This window comes from Homo sapiens, chromosome 2, assembly GCF_000001405.40.
Source record: "Homo sapiens chromosome 2, GRCh38.p14 Primary Assembly".
NCBI classification, from domain to species: domain Eukaryota; kingdom Metazoa; phylum Chordata; class Mammalia; order Primates; family Hominidae; genus Homo; species Homo sapiens.
The window spans coordinates 148,952,649-148,976,008 of NC_000002.12; the positions used below are offsets into that span (position 1 = coordinate 148,952,649).

At 42.4% G+C, this 23,360-nt stretch overlaps 1 protein-coding gene across 5 annotated transcripts in view, besides 2 other annotated features; it reads left to right on the forward strand.

Moving 5' to 3' along the window:
• Positions 1–23,360, forward strand: part of KIF5C (kinesin family member 5C) — a 151,533-nt gene that overhangs the window by 77,422 nt on the left and 50,751 nt on the right. For all 5 annotated transcript variants that reach the window (NR_111932.2, NM_004522.3, XM_017004062.2 and 2 more), the window contains 2 exons: positions 9,323–9,471; positions 20,688–20,863. Coding sequence is in view for 4 of the 5 variants with exons in the window: in NM_004522.3 (NP_004513.1) it covers positions 9,323–9,471; positions 20,688–20,863 (325 nt within the window). In the remaining variant the exon portion in view is untranslated. The remainder of the gene's footprint in view (positions 1–9,322; positions 9,472–20,687; positions 20,864–23,360) is intronic.
• Positions 14,387–14,681: a silencer, noted in NCBI's record as "tiled region #9639; K562 Repressive non-DNase unmatched - State 10:DNaseD". NCBI's record gives its function as "represses a minimal TATA promoter and a strong SV40 promoter by Sharpr-MPRA in K562 cells {active_cell/tissue: K562}" and the evidence as "EXISTENCE:reporter gene assay evidence [ECO:0000049][PMID:27701403]".
• Positions 21,293–22,129: an enhancer, noted in NCBI's record as "OCT4-NANOG hESC enhancer chr2:149830455-149831291 (GRCh37/hg19 assembly coordinates)". NCBI's record gives its function as "activates a minimal SCP1, AML or CMV promoter by ChIP-STARR-seq in naive and primed H9 embryonic stem cells {active_cell/tissue: H9 hESC(naive and primed)}" and the evidence as "EXISTENCE:reporter gene assay evidence [ECO:0000049][PMID:30033119]".

Sequence of the window (23,360 nt, forward strand, 5' to 3'; positions counted from 1 at the left end):
TATTGACCCATTCTCTTGTTTACCTCTCCCCTCTGAGCCCCAGTCTTCTCTCCCACAGAGAGATATATAATAATGCCTACTTTCAAGAATATTGGGAGGATTATATGAGTTGCTTCAGTTTTTACCTAGCACAAGGGCTGGCATGAGTCCAGGTAAAAAAGTCCGTGACCGATGGCAGGCTATCGGTGATTGCAAGTTCTGCTTTTCCTTCGTCTTAAATAATCTCACAGTATTGCGGCTTGAAAAGGTCATAGTAGTAGATGGGACTAGACTGAATATAATGCACTGTAAGGGACAGCACTGTCATATAAGGGAGAGGATTAAATAAAGTAGAATTAGAATTACATTTTGGGAATGAACAAATAAAAAATGCTGCAGGTAATTTGGGCTTCCAGGAAGTAAAAAGTAATATAAATTATGTTTTCAAATGAAATAGGTCGGTCTACATTCTTTTATCAGAGTCATCTAGATTCTGCTCTCTGTGACAGCAGGGACTGAGTTTGTCACAGACATTAGTTTCTCATCAACCACTGCACAACTAGTTCACAGTAGGTGGTCAATAAATAAATGCTTATCAAATGAATGAACAGATGAATCTAAAGCTTATTGTGTAAGGTTACTTGGAAAGTTAGGGCAGTTGCTGAACATTGATGCCATTACGTCCAGAAGTTTGGTTGGGTTTGGATCTGGTTTGCTTTCCAAACTATTATTGGAAATGTGTGAGGTTTCGTTCCTTTCCCTTTATCCCCAAGTTAGTTAATGGATTATTTAAGGATGCTGAGCTATTCTATGGGGCCAATACCTGCTGTATTGTTAAATATACTCATTGAACCCAATTATACAGCAGACACAAGACTGAACATCGGATTAGACATGGTATGTGATAGCTAATGAGATTAAGCACTTTGAACTCAGAAAAGACTGCCGGGCACATCCCAAATTCATTGTAATGAGTGTTCATTATATTCTTACTGCAGAGGTGGCCAAACCTTAGGGCAGCATGAGGTTCCTCCGTTATTCCTTTGTGGTTCTTTCAAGGACGTGAAGAGAGTACACGTTTGTTCTGCTTGACTGTACTGATGTTCTGAATAACACAGTGTAGTATGTGTTTCGAAGCAGTTCAATCTGCAGATCCCTGAAGGCACTCTACCAAGAGTCCTGTTAGCATTCTTCAGGATTATAGGTTAGATACTGGAATTTAAAGGGAAAAATTTACCATGTCTATTTCTATTTTTGTTTTTTAAATTATACTTTTAAGTTCTGGGATACATGGGCAGAACATGCAGGTTTGTTATATAGGTATACATGTGCTATGGTGGTTTGCTGCACCCATCAACCCGTCACCTACATTAGGTATTTCTCCTAATGCTATCCCTCCCCTAGCCCCCCACCCCCCGACAGGCCCCGATATGTGATCCATCCATGTGTTCTCATTGTTTAACTCCCACTTATGAGTGAGAACATGCGGTGTTTGGTTTTCTGTTCCTGTGTTAGTTTACTGAGAATGATGGTTTCCAGCATTCTGGTTCTTCCATTCAGTCGGGGTTGTTTCCTTTAGTTTCCTGAATGCCCAGCATCGTGCCATTAAAGAAGTAAGTGCTGTCTCCTGTGTTCTCAAAGAGCTTTTAATCTAGCTGAGGAGGCAGCACTTGAATTACGAGGCAGTAGAAAGTCAAAAAGCCAGACTCAAATTAGAGCACTTTTATTGATTCTTTTCTTCTGGCTTCCAGAATTCTATTTTGTAGTCTTTAATTACTCTTCTCAACTACTTTTACAGCGCTATTTGAAAAAGATATTTATGTTTTAGAAGTGTGAACTCAAATCACCCAATTGTGTTGGAAGCCTATTTAATGTACCTTGATTTGGGGTGGTAATAAAGGGAAAGAGGCCCTCTGAGGGGGCAGACCAATGTGGTTAGGAAGACCTGAATCGGCACATCTTTGGCACTGGGAGTTTTGATTGATCCAGCATGAATAATTTGAGGCTTTGTTTGTATGTTGAATGTGGAAGGAGAATTGATATCTTAGGGAAAGTAATAATCTTTTTTCTTTTCCTGATGTGCACTTAAAAAAGTCGTGTCATCATTTTAATTGTGTCATCTGCCAGTTTAGTGGTAGCTAGATTAGGCAGAGCCTGAATAGTGTGCATATGAAATTTATGTCACCAGAACATGAGAACACATTACCTACGAGAGTAGAATGAGCATTTTGGCCAAGGCAGACACTTGGCTACACTTTGACATGAAAGAAAAAAAGGCTTAAATCATTCCTGTTGGGGGGCCTGTTGCTGAAACACCAGTAGGGTTAATTTTTGCCCTTGGAGGGAAGAAATACTGTGGGTGACATACATTTAACTAGATGCCAAGTCCTTATCCATGTCATTTCTGAATGTTTCTCAGGAGACTAGAACTTTTTAAAGACACAAAATTTTCATTTCTCCCTCCTGCCCTCCCTCCTTCCCTCACAAGCAGGGAAATGGCCTCACCAGAAGCTGGGAAGGTGCTTTGGAGCAGTGGTCCTTTCAGAAGAAGGTTTGGGTGTTTTAGATGGGAACTAGGTCTCAGAGCAGATTGGAAGGTTAGTTTCTGATTAGTTTTATATGTCAGCTTGGCTAGGCCATAGTGCCCAGTTACTTAATCAAATACAAATCGAGGCGTTGCTGTGAAGGTACTTTGTAGAATATGCTTAGCACTTACAATCAGCTGACTTTAAGCAAGGCAGATTACTCTCAATAATAAGGGCGAGCATCATCCACTCAGTTAAAGGCCTTAAGAGCTAAAATGGAGGTTTCATGGAGAAGACAAAAATTGTGCTTCAGGATGGTAACATCAACTCCAGCCTCAGTTTGCAGCTGTCAGCCTGCCTTATGGCTTTCAAACTTGCCAGCCCCCATAGTCATGTGAGTCAGTTTCTTAAGTAAATAAAAGAGTGAGGTATATCATATATATGTATGTATGTATATATAGTAGGATTTTATATATACAATAGGATATATAATATATTATCTATATTTATCTATCATCTGTCTTTATCTTTCTCCTATTGGTTCTGTTTCTCTGGAGAGCTCTGATAGTGAAGAATGCTATACTCTCTATCCTCTCCTGCTCCCACAGTGGGAGAATCTCCGTTTCTGTCTCTCACACACCATTCACAGTGCAGAATCACACATGACAGATTTATTCTGTGTGCTGAAGGTGTGAGGTTGTCTAGAGCTCCTTATTCAAATGCCAGCACTATCCTGAACACCTGGTGAGAAAAGAAGGATGCTGAAATAAAAGGTATGAAGGTACCAAGAACAAATATCTTTGTGGTTATTCCAGGGAAGCCAAAGTAAACAGAAGAAACGCCAAAGGTAGGCACTCCTCGTGTCATTTAGAACTGACTGTGGCCAGGAAATATGAGTGTAGGAAACCACTGGGAAAGCAGGTGGGGATGAGACTCATCAGAATGCAGTGGTTCTAGGTCTTCTCCCCACTCAAGGAGGGCTTCGTTCAAGTGCCAACTTACGAGGGTGCCTTCAGTGTCATCACATGTGGGTGCTTAACCTCGGTGGTGGAGATGGGTAGCATCAGCAGTCTTGGAAGCTGGCCATGTGCTTCTGAAATGTAAACTGCAAATTCAGTGATGGAAGGATTGAGTGGTGCTGGGAAGAAAATAACAGAATGCTCGACAATGGGGAGGTAGTTTCCTCTTTCCATTCTTTAGTAGAATATATCTAAGAGAATCTTTACTGACTTAACTGTCTCTGTAGCAGTATCTAGATGGAAGATGTACTGTGGCCTCTGATCTTTGTCCACTAGGCTTGGTCTGCCTTTCCTAAGGGTGGTTAACATTCATTAGCTTTGAGGTCTTTAAAAAATTTGGTCCTGGTTCCCTCCCTGTGGGGAGAAGAGATTTTATACCTGGGGCATGCCTAGATCATATATCATTAAAGTAGTGCTTGACTTGAAGCAAGCCAAAACAAGGAAAAGATGCAAAACAGATTCCCTGATAATGGCATCCTCACAATTTGACTCAGTTTTAAAAGCAGGTCTTGCTGTTAGGGTATAAACTTAGGACTGAATTAAAGTTCTTTCCCAGAGTAGCCTTTGGTTAGGATTTTGCTCAGTTCCTGCTGCGGTTATAACTTGTGGAATAGACATTGATATCTGTATATACATTGAGGGCTCTGATTGAAAACCCTGAGAGTTTTTAGAAATGAAGAACCCACTTTTGTATTTCTTTGTGAATGATCAGGCCACTTTGGATTAATCAAATAGTATCACAGCCAGTTTCACCTTTAAAGAGGATGAGTGAGCAGTCAGTAAGTGGCTAGAATAAGGCTTCTATGGGTCATTGACTTGTTTCTCTATATCAAAGAGATAATGTCCTGGAACCATAAGGCTGGTTGGTATCACAATTGCTGTATATAGCTTCTGCTAGACAAAATCACAAAACCTGCCTTAAGAGCACTTCTTAATTTCTGCTGTCTTCTTGATTTTGTGTCTCCCTGTAAGCTACCTGAAGTTCTTTTGGAAACAAGGCTGAACAATAAATGCACACGTGTGGGCCTGTGCCCAAGTTCCGGATCATGTTCACTGGCAGCCTCACGCCCTAGATCCAAACCACAACAAGACAGCAGAACACTGTGTAACCGCATTGATGGCAACTAGCTAGATATTAACAAAGGAGGAAACTGATTTTTTTTTCTTTTTTTCCTCTGAAATCAGTTAAAGCTAATTAAGGGAAAGTGAATTTTGAATGTCCAAATAGAAAGAAGCTAGTGATCATTAGGCTCCTTCATTCTCTAAATTTGCCAAAGTTGATGGTAAAAAGAAAAAGAAATTGTAGATATTCTATATCCTTTTACTCTTAGTCTCTTGGGAGAATGAGAGACTGAGACCCTCTTTATTTCACTTTGCAAGATTGTTTTTAACATCCTAGATAGGAGAATGTTTGTTCTAGTAAAAAAAAAAAAAAAAAAAAAAAAACAATAAACCTCAGGGCACAAAAATTCAGTATCTCTCTTAGTAACCCTAGTTTATTCTGCATCTGGAAATTCTTGTATCTGACTTGATTTCTTTCTCCATCAGTTTGTTTTTCTTAACTCAATTTTTATTGAATATAATATAGTAAAATACATAAACTTAAGTGCATAACTAATTTTTTTTTATAAATATATATACACATGTGACCACCACCCAGGATCTTGGAAGCCTCTCTCTTTGACCCTCTCAGTCAACACCGAACTCTCAAGGGTAATTGTCACCCTAACTTCCATCAACATAGATTGTTATTGCCTGTCTTTGAATTATTTGAAAATGAAATCACCCAGTACTGTTTTGTATCTGGCTTCTTTCATACAGCGTTTTATCTGTGAACTTCATCTACATTGTTAGGTGTAGTAGTAGTTCATTTTTCACAGTTATATAGTATTCTATTGTATGAATATGGCTTATAGGTATCCATTCTATTGTTGATGGATATTTGGATTATTTTCATGTTGGGGTGATTATAAATAAAGTTACTATGACATTGGTTGTCATGCCTTTGGGTGAATATATGTCCTCATTTCTGTTAGGTGGGAGCAGGTCATAAGGTGTGAAATATTCTACTTTAGTAGATACTACTAAAGATTTTTCCAAAACGACAGTAATAATTCACACTCTCTCCAGTAGTAGTTGACTGTTATAGTCATTGCTCATTCTCAGCAACAGTTGGCATTATCAGTTTTAAATTTTTTAGCCATTCTATTGGGTGTGGGAAGGTATCTCATTGTAGTTTTAATTTGCATTCCCTGAAGGCTAATGATGTTAAACACCTTTTCAGGAGGTGTTTTATTGGCACTTCTTTTATAAAGTGCCTGTTCCAAGTCTTTGCCCAGTTTTTTCTTATTGATTTAAAGCAGTTATTTTGGGTAAGTCCTTTGTCAGGTATATGTATTTTATATATCTTCTCCCACCTTGTAACTTGCCTTTTAACTGTCTTAATGGTGGCTTCTAATGAAGACAAGTTTTTAATTTTAATGAAGTCAAATTTATTTTTTCTTTTATGTTCTATTTAAGAAATCTTTGGCCAGGCATGGTGGCTCATGCCTGCAATCCCAGCACTTTGGGAGGTTGAGGTAGGCGGATCACCAGAGGTCAGGATTTTGAGACCAGCCTGGCCAACATGGTGAAACCCTGTCTCTACTAAAAATACAAAAAAATTAGCTGGGCGTGGTGGCGGGCGCCTGTAGTCCCAGCTACTCGGGAGGCTGAGGCAGGAGAATCACTTGAACCCGGGAGGCAGAGGTTGCAGTGAGCCGAGATTGTGCCACTGCACTCCAGCCTGGGCAACAGAGTGAGACTCTGTCTCAAAAAAAAAAAAACTTTGCCTACCCCAAGGTCTTGAAGATACTGTCCTATATTTTCTGTGGAAGCTTTATTGTTTTACTTTTCACATTTATGTCTGGGATCTCTCTGGAACAGAATTTTTTACATGGTATTGGGGGTGAGGAATAAAGTTCCACTTCCCCTCAGTGCCATGTATTGAAAGGACTGCCCTTTCCACTCTTCTCTATGGACACTTTTGTCATAAGTCAGATGACTGTCATCTGAGTGCCTGTTTCTGGACAATTTATTCTGTTTTTATTCCAAGATTTCTGACAATTTGATCAGTTTTACTTTATAAGAAAGTGATGATGTTCAATCCTCTAACTTTGATCTTCAGAACTGTCCTTGCTATTCTTTTTTTTTTCATTTCTATTATAAATTTCAGAATCAGCTTGCCAATTTCTATACACATACACAAACCCCTTAGGGTTTTTTTGGGGGAAGGTGGGGATTACTTTAATTCTCTAGAGCAATTTTAGGAGAATTAACATCTTTCTCTCTCAGTGTAAGCTGATTTTTTCATATTCTACCTTTAGTGGATGTGAAGGCCCCGCTTGCCCCATTTGGGCTGAATGAAGTCTCGGGCTCCAGTGTGAGACACAGATTCCCACTGTTATTTGAGTTCCAAATGGAAGTTGGGTTGCGCATCTTTAGCTACTCCTCTGGATCTTTTCTGCACCATCTCTGTCCTGCTTTGTGACTTAGGAGGGTGACTGGTTTGGGCTCATGCAATGGGCTCCTTTTCCTCTGGCTTCCAGTTATGTTACACCCGTGGGGAAGGAACACAGGCAGGCGATCAGAAGGAGAGAAGAGCGTGAGGTCCGGGTATTTATTTCCTGGCTTCTTCCCTGCCAGATCATTTTGGGTTGGCTGTGTCCCTACCAATGGCTGTGACAATTCATACCTACCAGGCAATCTTTTCCTTCTAGCCTTCTCTCTCTGGCTCCCCTTCAGCTTAAGGGTAGTAATGGCTCCCCAGTCCCTAATGTGGGTACCACATTAACCCTTGTTATTTCCCAACACCTTTCCAAACCTTTGTTAAGCACTCTTCAAATCATGCAATTTGAGCAGGTGGTCTGTTTCCTTCCAGGACCCCGATTACTACAGAAGTGGGGATTTCCTAGGCAATTGTTAAAAGTATTTTGAGAATGAGGACCAGTTACACCAATGGTGATAACCTTGCTGAGTCTGCTCACAAAATATGCCTCTGGCTAAACCTGCCTGAGTATAGCATAGAGGCTTTAGCTTTCTCTTTCTGGTATCATGTGAAGTTATCAAGGGACTCTTTATGATTTAAAAAGTAAGATTAGTAGCCTTGAAGTGTGCCCTTAAGTGTCCATAAGCATTTTAGCCATGAGTTATTTTTCACTTTTTGCCTTACTAAGTTGATAATGGATGCTTGTAATGTTTGTGCTTGCATCTGAGAAGCATCCACAGTACTGCCTGAGGATGTCAGGAGGAGAGGTGAGAGTGTCAAACAGGACCAGACTTTAAAGTAGTAATAAAATTGCTGTTATTTGAAAAATTAGACTCAAAGCACTTCTAGGGATTGCAGCCTCAAGCTACAGTGAACAAGAGAGAGTTATCCTAATTCTTAAATGGAGTCTTACATTGAAGTTGTTAAACTCCTCTTTTGACAGTTGGGTTATTTAGTTGTCTGCTTTAGCAATGAATTTTTGGAATGACATCTGTAGTGCTGGTGAGGACTGCTGAATTTCTTGCACTGAAATAGAAATCAGGATGTCATTTGCTGACAACGGTAATTAACCCGAATCACAAATCAGATTGTGCTGGCAAATATGACGGTGTAAGAACTGTTGGAAGTTCAAAATGAAAAAGTCAATAGCAAATAAAACAGGATATCACATATTTTTTAATGAAGCTTTACCTTCTTGAAAGTAAGCCTAAGTGGAGTTTCCTTTTTAATTGGACAAGGCCACTTAGGTGTTCGTTTCTGTGCATGCTGAGCTGAGTCATGGCTTTTGTTTTTGGTATCACTTGGTGCAGCTACTGATTTGCTCTCCACAGTTGCCCCTTTGGGTTACTCTCCAGGTACATCCCTGTGGCATCTCAACCCCCCAGGCCATGTGCCCCAGAGATCGCATCATCTCTTATACTGGAAGTGGCAAAATGGTGGCCATTAGGCATGTTTGTTTGTCCCACACATTGTTTTTATAAATAGTTTAAAACTGGGAGACACAAATTAAAGAAAAAACAGTTTCTGATTTTTCTTGGAAAATAGGATGATCTGAATACTGTGGGGCCTCCTCACCGCATGGTGATGACGGGCTGTGATGGGGGGGGCGGGTGTGTGCTCAGCAGGGAGCCATGGTGTCCTCTGGCCAGCCTTACTCAGCTGTGGGACCCACCTGACCTATGAGGCATGTGTTGATGTGATAAATACATCAGGGGTGGTTTTGGGTACCACAGGTGAGGAAGAGAAATAATTGATTCTATTATTTCTGTCTGTGTATCATTGGTATAAGAAACTGCAGTCTCCAAGAGGACAGAGACCTCGTCTATCTGTCTTGGTGTACCCCAAATTCATAAATGTTAATTGAACTGAAAAGAACCTCAACTTAGGCAGGTAAATCTGGTGATGGTATGCAGGGGGCTTAAAGGAGGGTACTGAACATTTGAAAAAGGCTGTAACCATAAGGATGGCTGAGAACACAGACTAAGACAGTGGCAGAGGGAAGAGAGAAAGAGGAAACCCTGAGACAATTCGAATAAATGTTCATTAGATTTAGAGACCAGTGGGATGTGAAGGAGAAAAGGAAAGGATGAGCTTGAGGCCTCAAGGGTTAGTGGTGCCGTTAGTCCAATTAGGAGGATGGTTGGTGAAAGCCACAGGATCCCTTCTGCTTCCCTATTTCCAGTCTTTTGACATGAGGAATCTTGGGCTTAATCATATTGGTTTAGCTAATGGTAATAATTAGCTGAATTGTCCCCTTATGTTTTTAATCCCAGAGCTAAGACCATCAAGAATACAGTCTCTGTGAACCTAGAACTGACAGCAGAAGAATGGAAGAAGAAATATGAAAAAGAGAAAGAGAAAAACAAGACTTTGAAGAATGTTATCCAGCATCTGGAGATGGAGCTAAACAGGTGGAGGAATGGTAAGGAAAAGTAAGGAGGAAGAGTGAGGCATGAGTGTGTGCTTTTTTTATTTTTATTTTTTTTGAGACAGAGTCTCTCTCTGTCACTCAGGCTGGAGTGCAGTGGCGTGATCTTGGCTCACCGCAACCTCTGCCTCCAGGGTTCAAGCCATTCTCCTGGCTCAGCCTCCCGAGTAGCTGGGATTACAGGCGTGCACCACCACACCTGGCTAATTTTTGTAATTTTTTTTTTTTTTTTTAGTAGAGATGAGGTTTTACCATGTTGGCCAGGCTGGTCTTGAACTCCTGACCTCAAGTGATCCACCCACCTTGGCCTCCCAAAGTGCTGGGATTATAAACGTGAGCCACCGTGCCTGGCCGTGTGTGTGCTTTCTTTTTCTTGTGACTGTTGGCATCCTGGGAGACACTTGGGAAAGTTGGGGCAATGGTGCAGCTTGATTCCTCCTGGCAACAACCTGTATGAACAAGCAGATGTTTTCTTAGTCCCTAACACAGGCACCATCCCCATCCCATCACTTGGCTAGCATGCATTGTTAGTGTGGACCAGTGATTATCTGCAAGGCTGCCTTAATCTGCTTCCAATGAGATGCACTCTATCTAATATTGTAATAACTTGCTGGTACCCCTATTTGTAGGTTAGAGGAAAGTGCCTGAGACTTAGTGGCTCAGACTGCTTTTGACTTAAATGAAAAATGTCATTCTCTCCTATGTGAGTTTTATTACTGGTTTGGGGTTAAAAGTCTACCTCTGGCAAATACTTGCATTTTTTGGCTGAACTCATCTTCATGCCAGAAATATAGGGCTCTCAAAGGAGCCCTGTGCTAAAATGGAGTCTTAAAGGCTTGGTTCGTGACTCGTTTTCCTTCTTCCCCAAAACATTTTCTTTGGTTTGTTCTACTGGGAGAAAATATCTCAGAGAGCTGACATGCAGTGGGTGGGTGGGTTGTGGGTGAGGTGTTAAGAGGGGTTTCCAGATCTAAGTGCAGACAGATTATTTTAGTGATTTTAGCATTGTGACGTAGGTTAGAAGGTAGAAGGCTTTTTTTTTTTTTCTTTTTAACTAAAATAAGGCAGGTTGGTGTGTGTGTAGGGGAATGGCGGATAGTTGGAAGTTGTTCTTCAGGTCCTCTGCTGCTGTGTTCAGTATTTTAGGTGCTGCAGCTGTACCTCAGCTTTGGGTAAGGGTAGGAGCCCGGGGGCTGTTGTGCAGGATTGGGAGGTAATGCTGACTGTAACTGCAGCAGATTGTCTTGTGATTACACGTTTGCCACTGCTTTTTGCTAGTAAGGGTGGGGTGTCAATGAGCTATTGTTTAATAGAAAAACAATTACGTGGCAAACGAGAATTCAAGACAGGTTTCAAAAATGACCTAGTAGTCTAAATAACATGATTCTTTTATTTTTGAAAGATTTTCTAGCAGCACACGTGTTTGGAAAGCTACTAGAATAATTGAATAATTCAGCACCTGAGGCTGGTGGATGATTCTTTGCAATTTGGCAGGAATGGGAGAGTCGGGAGCAGTAGTTGGCAAGGTGGGGAGTAGCCATATGAAGTTTTATTTCGGGAATCCTCCAGGTCAGTTCTCTGTTGGGTGACCAGGACATTCAGTAAAGCCTTTTGGTAAAGGATTGGGGGTGCTGGCTTTAGAAACATTACAGGGTGGGCAATGAACCTTTTTTCCCCCATCATTTTGCATCTCTTGCCAAACTTTAACCTTGCAGTTCTCCATCCCTCATCAAATGCCATCCTCTGGGATCTGCCCATTGCCTTGTTTGCCTGACTCACCATCATGCTTAGCATCTTTTGGGCACTCAGTCCTGTTTTTGGCCTCTTTACTTGGACATCATTTTAACTGTCACTCTTCGAACACCTTGCGAATCTCCTTAGAAATGTACTGTTTTCTCCCAGCTCTTTGGGTGGCCGAGGTGGGCAGATCACCTGAGGTCGGGAGTTCGAGACCCGCCTGGCCAACATGGAGAAACCCTGTCTCTACTAAAAATACAAAATTAGCTAGGTGTGGTGGCGCATGCCTGTAATCCCAGCTACTCAGTAGGCTGAGGCAGGAGAATCGCTTGAACCCTGGAGGCGGAGGTTGCAGTGAGCCGAGAACCCACCATTGTACTCCAGCCTGGGCAAAAAGAGCAAAACTCCATCTCAAAAAAAAAAAAAAGAGAAAGAAATGTGCTGTTTTCTGTGCCCTCTTGGGTGAGATCCTACATGAGCCTTTAAGTTACATAATTTGGGGAAAATAATGTATGATGATATACTCTGGCACAGAGTAGACCTCCAATAAATGTATGGGAAGCAAACATATGCTTAATGCAGGTGCTGGAGATTAAAGGGTGGGCAGTCAGATGTGGTCTCTTCCCTCAGGACGGTCTGAGCGGGGAGGAAGGTAAATGCCAGTCCTCACCAATAAATGTATGATGGTAGTCCACGCTGCATACCAAGAAGTGAAAGCACAGGTGCCAAGAGTTATACAACAGGGGGCCCTGACCTTGACTGAGAAGCCAGTGAAGGGTTCCTTGAATATGCAATGTAGAGATTAGTATCTGTGAGAAGCGCAGTTAGCCAGGCAAAATAGGGGGCATGAGGTGAGGTGGGGGCTCCGAGAATGGAGGACATAGGCCAGCAGGGAGCACTGGCCTGAGATGGGCTCGAGGGATAGGCGGGGCTCTCCTGTCTTCAGGATTTTGGTCAAGGGTGTTAAGCTGCAAGTCATACCTTCGCATTTTTGAAGATCCATTGGCTGTATTGGAGAGTGGACTGCAGGTCGGAGAGGAGGGCTGGGAGCTGGGGTGGTCTTCCAGGGATGAGATGATGGTATTGAAGTGACAGGGTAGTAGGAAGGGAGAGAAATGGATGAACCTGAGAGATATTTAGGAGGAGAAATTAGCCGGGTGTGGTGAGGGGTTGGCTATGGGAGAGGGAGGTTTCAATGACAACTGTGTTTTCTGGCTTGCCGAGTTGGATGGAGGGTGAGACCATTCTCTAAGACTGGGGATGCTGGAGGAGAACCAGGGGTGAGGGAGGAGGGAGTTTAGGGTCCCCGTGGAACATCCAGGGGAACATTATTCAGATAAGAAGTTAGGTCTGAGGGTCTGGAGCTCAGAGGATCTGCTTGAGTTGGAGTCATCAGTCTTTTGGTAGTAATTGAAGGCATAGGTAGGTGTGAGGGCCCTTTGGACTACAGAGAAAGAAGAGAAGACAGAGAGAGTCTGAGAGGCCCCCAGCAACCCCATTGCCACGTCACCACTGGTTGTGATGGGAGAAGGGAATTGGAGGGATTCCGCAGAACTCTCCTTTCCTCCCCAGCTAACATTTGTATTTAAAGGTGATTTTTCTAGGGGCAAAGTTCTTAAAGGTAGAGAACTGACTTTAGTGATGTAAGTTTCAGGCGAGAAGGAGAGTAGTGAGGGGCAGTGAGGAGGTGGGGAGAGGTCCTTTGTCCCATGGAGGGGGCAGAGCTACCTCAAACAGTAACTCTGTGTCTCATGCTATGTGCCAGTGGACGTTACAGGGACAACAGACCAGGCCAGGCTTTTTGTTACATTCTGAGGCTGGGCATTTAATCCTCAAGTAGCTCTTGTGACCATGAATGACAGGTCTGAAAACGTCCCCAAGTGGATCAGTCTCTGGTAAAGCTGCGATCTGAACTGAGTGGGCCTGACTCTAAAGTTCATTCTCTTTCTACTGTCTGCACAGCCTGCTCATCAAGTTAGCAGAATGATTTGTGGGCAGGGCCAGTTAGATGAGTGTAATAAATATCACGCCAAAAAAAGGGGCACTGGAAGCCCTTCCATGGTCTCCCCACGTGTCAGTCCTAATTCTTCAGAGCAGAAGATAATGAGGGCATAGCTGGTGATAATGAGGGCATGGCTGGTGTGTGTAAACGTGAGAGCTGGGCTTTTGAGATGTGGACTGAAAAAGCAGAAGTGCCCTTCACTAAAACCAGAGTGGCAGGATATTGCCAACTTTCCTTTGAAACTTGACACGCACATTGGTTCTAAACTTACAGAAGGTGGCTACTTAGCTCCCCTCAACATTTCCTGGGTATTGATATTTCCACATGGCAGTCTCCACGAGTTAAAGAGGCCTTGTCAATTGTGTGCAGTCTCCTGGGAAAAAGATTTCTTTCTTTGCATGGTATTTATAATTTAAGAGTTTGGCTGCTATACTTCAGCTGCTGGAGAGCAAGGAAGGGGTATGTGTAGCAAAGTGTGTGTGTGTGTGTGCGCGCGCGCACACACACACATGCTTGTGCTTTTTCCTACTTGCTGTTACATAGAATGAAGTAACAATACAAAGGAGTAGGAAATCAACTACAGATCAGGTGCAGGCAGATAATGGAGATAACTGAAAAGAGGTAAGTTTGATCCAGCTGGCAGTGTTGGGACTGTGCCACAGGACAGGGCATGCCCTGCCTTATGTCATTCAAAATTGGTGAAATACTGCACTATTACATGCCTAGAGGTTGCTCTCGCCCTCCCCCACACCTCCACCTGTACCAATTTTCAACCCTTTGTAGCTTGATGCATGCTATAGATTGAATGTTTTGTGCCCATCCAAATTCATATGTTGAAATCTTAACCCCTAAGGTGGTGATAGTAGGAGGTGGGGCCTTTGGGAGGTGATTGGGTTCTGAGGATGGACTCTCATGAATGGCATTAGTGTCCTGTGAGTTCTGAGAGAGCTTCCTTCCCTCTGGTCTCCACTATGTAAGACTATAATGAGATGCCATCTGCAAACCCCGAAGAGGGCCCTTACCAAGTGCCAAGATCATGTTGGCACTCTGATCTTGGACTTCTAGCCTCCAGAACTGTAAGTAATAAATTCTTTATAAGCCACCCAGTCTATGGTACTTTCTTATAGCAGCTCCAGGTAAGACAGGGGCCACTTCAGAATGCAGGCCTAGCAGTTTTCTCCTCTGGGCACTGTTGAACCTTGATTCTCAGAAGGCGGCTTGTGGCTCATATCACATATACTACACTAAGCTTTAATTCCTTTCTGACATTGCCATGGAGGCAGGATAACTCCGGGCATGTGCATGTGGCTAAGGAGAGCCACCCACTGGCCTGGTTCCGTTCCCCAGGGTGCTAGTTAGGATCCTTGGATTGCAAACGACAGGAATTGACACTGCCTGGCTAAAGCAAAAAGAGAATGTGTTAGAAGGATACGAATGATTCGCAGACTCCAAAGCAGAGGCAACAGGCTCCGACAAGTGTAGGCTGGGGCTGCTTCAGGGATACAGGCAGCAGAGACAGGCAGGTCTCTTAAGTGGCCACACCTGGAATTAATGCTTTTTCCCTTCTGTATGTGATTATGTTGGAGAAGCAGAGGCCCAGGATAGAAGTGGGAATACTGTGCTTGCTGGTGTGCCTTGGCTGGGGAAGGGCAGGGCACTTTGATACATTGTCTGATGAAGACTGCATGCAGTTTAGGGGGCTAATTCCTTAAAAGGAAGTTGAGGTGCTATTTTCTAAGAATGGGTGTCGAGTGGCTGAAAAGCAACAAATGTTCACCACAATCTACTAGTGACATCTTGTGGGCCGATATCGATGGCTGGTCTTTCTTCGAATCTGGAGGCTCTGTTGGCTCTTTAGCCTCACGGAGATTTGTTCAGCCTGCTTGCTTAAGGAACAGATAGGATGGAGTGGGGCAGTTGCCAGAAAATGGAATTTTTTTTAAAGCTCTATTGCTTTGTTGCTCATATGTGCGGGAGAGACTCGAACAATCCTATATATGGAGATAGAGTTAAATAGTTGGATTCAGAGTGAATTACAGCTCCAGCTCATGCTAACCTCCTCCCAATCCATCAGGAAAACTCTTGACAGGAGGATGGGGAGGGCGGGGTGAAGTCTGGATGCATGGCTTCCTGTTGCTGCCAGGTCAGTCTTCACACATGCTGTCTTCTGATACTTTGAATTTTGCACTTGAAAAATAATTTTTTACAGTGATTTAAGTCAGAAAAAGGAGGACCTGAAAATCCAGGTGTCAGAACAAGGAAATGACCTGACAAACTGGTGTATCTGCAGATTTTCTTCTCTTGAATAATTGCCTATAAGATTAAAAAACAGTGGATATAGATTTACCTTATCTGCTGAAGTCATGCAAAGAAATGATTTCATCACAGGCTGAGAAAGTGTGGAAAAATCGGCAGTCTCTAACGCAGATTTGTTCATCCAGTTCAAAACCTGTGAGGCCAGCAGACATGGTTCAGTAACTAGCTAAATCTGTAGCCTCTAGTCTGATTTGGGGCTTTGTGGAACTTTGGGACCACCACAATTGGAACACAATTTGCTCTTTTAGCATTAAATCTTCGAAGATGCTGGCTCCCTTCTTAGATCCATGATTATAATGGACTCTCAGAAATTAGCATTTCATTGGAGCGATCTAATTTACTAGGCCCTCTGCTTGCTTTTGAGAACACAACCAAACTCTGTAATAGAAATACCGTCTGTCTACTAAGAGAATGTTGTGGCCTGTTCAGGTGGTCATGAATGTAAGGAGGATGCAGAGTCCCAGGTGACCAGTTTATTAGAAAATCGCTCTAGAAGGGATTAGAGGATGTTTTAAGCTGCTTACAGTGTTTTTAGGAATGAGGGTGAAAGATGCTATTTGCATGCAAAATAATCTCATAAAAGAATGATTTTTTTTTTTTAACATCACATTTATATAATGACATCTTGTAGCCAGCTGCTCTCACCCATCTGGCAACTTAAAGATTTCCTTTTAGTTTCTTTGATACAGAAATTACCTACCATTAGGTCTGCCACTGGGCCTATTTAATTGGAATTAAAAGAAAGCACCTCGTTTGCCAGATCTGCTGTGGTTCCTGGCGGAAGCTGTGAGTAACCAGCAAATCTCTGCTCTGGAGTTACTGAGAGAATGCAATTACCTTTCTGTGTTCTCCTGAGGCTTTAGGAACTCAACTTATGAAAAGGATAACTAGCTTGTTGCTATTTCATGTGTGAAGTTTTAATGAATTACTGGCAGTCTAATGGTTTTCTTTCTTTAAAAAAAAACCCAAAAACCTATTTTAGAAATTTTAATAGCCCTAATGAGAATTTTTGATTAGTGTGTCATTCTCATCTGTTGCCGTTGATGGATTTCTATTTTTTGTAGAAATGTTATTTACGCCCTCTGGGAGTTTTTATTTTATAATTAGAATGCTCTGTAAGCCTTATAGGTATGCTTCAGTGAATGCTCCTATGTAAACACAAATCTTTTTAGTCCTTAAAGGTAATTACATCTGACGATAGTAAATGCCAGGATGCTTATTTAAAGAAGGGGAAGGTTTCCAGTGTGTGTGTGTGTGTGTGTGTGTGTGTGTGTGTGTGTGTATGTGTGTGGGGAGGCCTTTCAGATGCTTTACAATATTATGAGCTCTTTTCCTATAGACAGCAGGTATAAGCCTCCGGGGCTAAACTAAGAGAAATCTGCTTTTAATGCAAAGAGGGAGACTCAAAATAGATGCTAATCTTCCTTTGGTGGTCTTTTTCTCCTTCTCCCACCATCAGAGTTCAGGGCGTTATTTCTCTAGGGTCTGTTTGCAGCTGTCTTCCTTGTTAGAATCAGTTATTCCATAATCACCATGTGGGGGCTTCTCCAGAGAATTGGTCCACTGCAGTGCAGGGAATATTCTCCATTAACGTGGTGAGATTGCCATGGAGACAGATAACCTAGTGTCAGGTCTTGCCTAGTGTTGGGAATTTACAATCCCCAGACGTGTTTGTGAGCTGGACAGTGTAGTTACCAGGACGCTTCTGGAAGTCATTTTCTCGGTCCTTTGAAGAGTAGTGGTGTTGGAAAACCTGCCCTTGGTTCCTCTCTGGGCAGGAGCTGGGCTGCTTTAGTTCCTGCGTGTTGCGGCTTTGTTCTTCTCCGTTGAAATGGCTGCTGTAAAAAATAATCCTTACTGCCTGACCTTTAGAATATAAACTGAAAAGAGCTGGTTGTTTAGATGTAGCTTTGTAGGAGACATGTTAATGCTTTGATTGAGAGAATTGTTCAAGAGAAACCACAAAGTCTGCTGTAGGTTTCAAATACTGTTTTAATAATAATAAAAATAAACCTGAAATGGACTTGCATGGCTATACCATGTTTTATTTTTGGAACTGAGCTCCAGCCATAAAATTATCGTAAAGATCTCAGAAACACAAATCACAGAATAAGTAAAAATAATAATTTATCTGCCAAGCCTACAAAGTTGCAAATTTGTCAGGGAGAGGAGGGGATAAGAGGTGGACTTTGAACAATATTGCCTTTTGTGCTTTTTACATATACTATCTTCATTTATCTTTAGAACAACCCTGTGATAAAGGCATTGTTATTTCTTCTCCCTTACAGAAAGGAAACCAAGAGGGTAAGCAGGAGATGGGCTTGTGATTAATGAGACCTGTTAAAAGGTACAATGTGGCTTTAGCATCCTGCCATAGCACTGGAGATGAGAGAGTCCCTTGACTACTTTCACAGTGCCTTACAGCAGCATTGGCTAGCTTGTTGAATCTCTGCCATCTGGGACAACCCTTCTACTTGGTGACGCTATCATTCCTTAATGGGAGAAGAGGGCAGCTTTAGGGGAAGTCAGGCCTGTGACTTTGGTTAGAACAGGTCACTTGCTGCTAAGGTTATAGAAGTCTATCCCCGGCCCCTGCCCACTCAGCTGAATCAAAACACACACTGGGCAGCTCCTTAGCTTACCCTAGCCTCATGATACCATTGCCTCTTTGGCCATTTGAAACCAAAGAACACAGGGAATATATCTCTTCCAGATGTTTTTGTATCTTACCTCTTTACTTGGAGTGAGTTGGCCTGTGGATAATATGACCATGTTCTGGTTGGTGTCTGGTCTGGTACAGCTAAGAATTTCATCTTTGTCATGCGTAAGCTGAAAGATTAAATTCATACTGTACTGGATTGCCCTGTTCCCAAATTTCAGAAGCTAGAGCTCAAAAATTAGAGATACAGTCACAATCCAAGAAGAGGAAGGATATTTACCAAAGTGTTAGTGGTGAATTTCTCTGGGGAAGGAACAGAATTAGAAGGGAGGGGTGAAGGAGGACTTTCAAGTTTTAGTTGTATACTCCACATTGCTTGAGTTGTTTATGTTAAGAATGTATCCTGAATTATTGTGTGATTAGAAAATCTGTCTGTCTGTCTGTCTGTCTGTCTATCTATCTATCTATCTATCTATCTATCTATCTATCTATCTATGTCTATCTATCTCTAATATGTTTAAGAAAAAAAAAGAACATGGTACAGCTTTTATAGCCCATGGATTTAGCAGACTGTAGAGAATATAGATCCTTTAATTGGATGAAATCCAGTCTGCACACTAAGGTTGTTGATGGATATTTTAAGCCAGGAATTGGAACTGAATGAAATATTGATTTGGTTCAGGTTCTGTTCAAAGGCTACTCTGATATTCTGGTTTTGTTTAAGGTCAATAATTTTAGAAAAAACGCTTAAGTATAGCAGTCTTGTTGGAAAAGGAAAAAGGGTTGGCTCAATTTTGTATTCAGCAAGGTAATAGTTTATTCTATGTTTTGCTTCAAGTTGCTGCTTCAAACGGAACTGTGATACAAAAGTGAAAGCATTGGGTGTTAATTTTACTTAACACGGAGGCCCCATGTAGTATTTTGTGGTTATGCAGTGAGATAATGGAGTCATAAGCAGCAGAACTAAACTATCACAGTGTTTTGTTTATATTGAGATAAATGTGTACAGTGTTCAGGTGGGTTCCTTGAAGCATGATATATATTGTTAATGAAGCCACAGATTGAAATCTCAGTTACTCTATTATTTATTTTTATTTATTTATTTATTTATTGAGACAAAGTCTTGCTCTTGGCACCCAGGCTGGAGTGCAATGGCGCGATCTCGGCTCATTGCAACCTTCGCCTCTCGGGTTCAAGCGACTCTTGTTCCTCAGCCTCCCAAATAGCTGGGATTACAGGTGTGCACCACCACACCCAGCCAATTTTTGTACAAATACTAAGTTTTGTATTTTTAGTAGAGATGGTATTTCACCATGTTAGCCAGGCTGGTCTCGAATTCCTGGCCTCAAGTTATCTGCTCGTCTTGGCCTGAGCCACTGTGCCCTGCCTTCTATCATGTATTTTTGAAAAACTCTCTGACTCAAGGCAGTTTTCCTGGGCAATTTTTACAAAATGGATTTTGTGGGCTGGGAACTGGGGTGAGGCTTGGAATACTGCAGACACTCTTACTACTGACTGTAGCAAGATGATTGTGGTGTTGATGGTAAACATTGTGATGGAAAAGTATGTTGGGTTTGGTTTTGCTTTCCAGGAAGATATTTGGGAGACTCAGTGGGGCCAGTAGTTTTCTTAGAATCCTTTTTATGCACTTTATGTCTTTGATGTTCTTGTTGGAGATAGCCATTGGCCAGCTTGCAAGCTGTACCATTTCTATCAATTTGATTGACAAATTTGGCAATTCTTCCTTTGAAGGCCCCAACAAATGCTACTCTGCAAACTGAGAAGTTGTAGGTAGGATCTCTGCAAGATAGTCTAGATTGGCTGCTTTTCTTTCCTAAGACTACCTGATATCACAGTAGGTTATTCTATTTGAACTTTCCAGCAGAGCCAATTAATTCTGGCTTCCTGGAGGAGACAGTGGTATTGAAATGTGAGCTTTTGCAGCTCTAGTCTTGGATCCAGGGCTACCCTGTCTTCTGACCTCAGATTTGGAGATTCTTGAATTCAGAGGATCTGAGCCTTAGAGTGTTCTATCAAACAATGCCAGTGTGTTTCTTTATTTGGCTGTTTCTATTAATGAAACAGTGACATAATTAATTCATAATTAGGATGCCTTAGAGGTCTGTTTCCTTTTTAATCAATCACTAGAGAGAATATGACTCTAGTAAAGCCCCAGGATATTCCTCAACTAAAGCAAAATGAATGTAAAGAATTTAGGCATCTCTGCAAGTTGGAGTAGCTTGGAACCAGTTTACTTCAGGGATGCATCTTGAGAGGGGAGGTTTTACATAGTTCTCTTTTTTCTTAGACTAGTTTTGGCCAATTAACTAAGACCTTTCTTGTCAAATAGAAGGAACACAAACTCTACCCACACTACAGCCCTTTATTGTGTCTTCTGTGTATTTTTCACCAGGACTGATTATTTTTGGTACTCTTCCTGGAGGGTTGCATACTCAATTTCTTTAATCCCCAACTCTGCTCGGCTATGTTTTGCAGGAGAAGCTGTGCCTGAGGATGAACAGATCAGTGCCAAGGACCAGAAGAACCTGGAGCCTTGTGATAACACCCCCATCATAGACAATATTGCTCCTGTTGTTGCTGGCATCTCTACAGAGGAGAAAGAGAAGTACGATGAGGAGATCTCCAGTCTCTACAGACAACTGGATGACAAGGTCTGTGGCCAGAGATTCATAGTTCTCATTCTGCTACAAAGATGAAAGATGGCAGGTCCCAGCTCCCTATGGGGCTGATGTAGGGCTACAGCCCGATCTTTGTTTCTGGTTTCCTAATACCTACCCTAGCACTTTGATGGTGCAGATTCAGGGAGTTTGATTCATGTGGAATAGAAATGTTAAAGGGAACTTGACTGAAAAAGCAGTGTGTTGGCCTAGATAGACAGGCGGGTGCTATTTAGAGTCTTGTCTTCTAGAAATTGGACTGGGCTGATTACTGCATGAAAGGTGGGGTGTGTGAGTGTCTATGATCTTTAAGTCTCCCTTTCTTCTCTGGGCCTATCCTTCACCTCTTGGAAACTCCAGCAGTAGCCTCAGCTAGGGGCAAGGGTTGTGACTCCCAGAATTCAAGCATGTACTTTAATCATATAACCATAAGGCCCTGGGATGAGAAATCGATAGCAGTGTGGTCTGATGGCTTCACCTAATTGGTGAAGCTCTTTTCACGGGTATATTCTTGAATGAAGTAGTTTGTACATGCTAATTGGGGATGTCCAATTTTATGACAAGCTTTTGGGACTCAAATAGTCATGTAAATGCACAAGTTGGCATAGAGGAAAAGAGGCCTTGGAGAACACTGGGAGAATCAATTAAAGGTTGGGTTAGGAATCCCAGAGGCATGAGAATTGAATTGATGTTTTATATGATCTTGGCATGTTGCCCTTGGAATATTCTAAATCCTTTCAGTTGATTTCATCAGGGTTGCTGATATTTTTAGCCTGATTTAATCTTTTCTATTGTGGTTCAGCTCAGAGTGCTTAGGGACACCTCTGGCTTGTATGAAGCAGCTTTGTTATGTTAACCTTGCCATTAATCTTACAGGCTTCTCTCTTTGAGGTAAAGCTCAGAGACTGGTATGACCTTTGCAAGCTGAATGTGACTGGTTGCCTTAAGGAAGCTAGTTCTGCTTGTTTGTGATTCCAAGAGCTTGCACTATAACCAAAGCTTTATTCTGGGGTCATCCTACTCTTCTGAAAACACATTTAATAAAATATTCGCACCCACGAGATGGGTTACTTGCCCTTTAGGCTCCACGCATACCGTTATCTTCCATTTCTATCTATGTATTTTATGCAAAACAAAGAGAAAAAGGAGATCAATAGTAAGTTAACAGTATATGCAATTTCTTGATTTCTCCAAGGAATTGCTATTGTTTAAACAGTAAAGAAGATTAGACCATATGCATTTTTTTTCCTCATTTTAGAACCAATGGGCTCATTTTTAGTAATCGCAGAGAATCCTGGGTGAGAGGGTGAGAAGCTGTTTCTGTGCTCAGTTCTCTATGAATAGACGCCTGCATGGCGGAATCGGGATCATTTACCTTGGCAGCACAGGGAACTTTCATTGATCCAAGAGAGAGACTTTAGAGTCTCAAATCAGACATACGAAATGTAGTGATTAGGACAGAGAGATGAAAATGCCATGTCCAAAGCATTCAGTTGGTAGCTGAAGAGCTGGCTTGAGAGTCTCCGTCTCCTGATGGTCAGCCTAGGCCATTTTGTTATGTCATTTTCCTACAGCATGTGCTTTGAAGATTCTGTAAGGCCCGCTGTTGGAGGCTAGTATTTGTGGTCCCTCACATGATGATGCTGAGAGACGTGGGAGAGGACTGAGCCTAGAAGCCTCAGCCTTAGGGGGCACCAGAGCTAATGGTTTGCCCTCAGTGACCCTTCCCAAAGACTGCCTGATTATGTCTTACCAACTGTCATTCTTAGGGGTCCTCCTCTGAAATGTTCTAGGAGGCACTTCCATGTTTCTGTTGATGTAGGTGGTTTGACGCTTGAAGAATACATGAGGTGGGATATGGCACCTTCTTAGTCTACTGAAAGGTAGAACAGGAGGTATTTAGGTTTGGGTGAGGCACTAGCCCAGGGTGGTTATGTGACTTACCCAAGTGTATATCACATATAGGTGGCAGAGCTAGGATGAAGTTACATATCTTCTGACTCCCACCCCAGTGCTCATCTCATTTTGCCCTCAGCCCTTTAAATGAGGACCTGGTCAACCTCAGTGAATCTATTTAGGGTGTGGAGGGAGAAAGACCACACGGTTTCCTCCCAGCTGTCCCTTCTGTTCCTCCGTGCTGCCCCGCCAGGGCTCCAAGCACAGGTACTCTCCCAAGGCTATGCTGTGTGATGGGAGAGCATGCACTGTGGACTCAGACCTGTAACAATGACACTGAGACCTGGGCAGACCTGTGACAATAATGCTGAGTCCTGGGCTGGCGCCTGGCCCTGCTGAAGGTGCTTTTTCTCATCTGTATCATGGGGCTTATATCTGTTAATTCAAAAGGCTGTGGTGAGGATTAAAAGTTTCTAGTACATTGCAGGTGCCCAGTAAATATTAGCTTCCTTCTTTCTCCTGGGCTGGGCTGGGCTCTGCTTACTTCCGTGTGTGGTGTGGAAGGGGTGGTGCCAAGGGGGCCACCAGCAGAGAC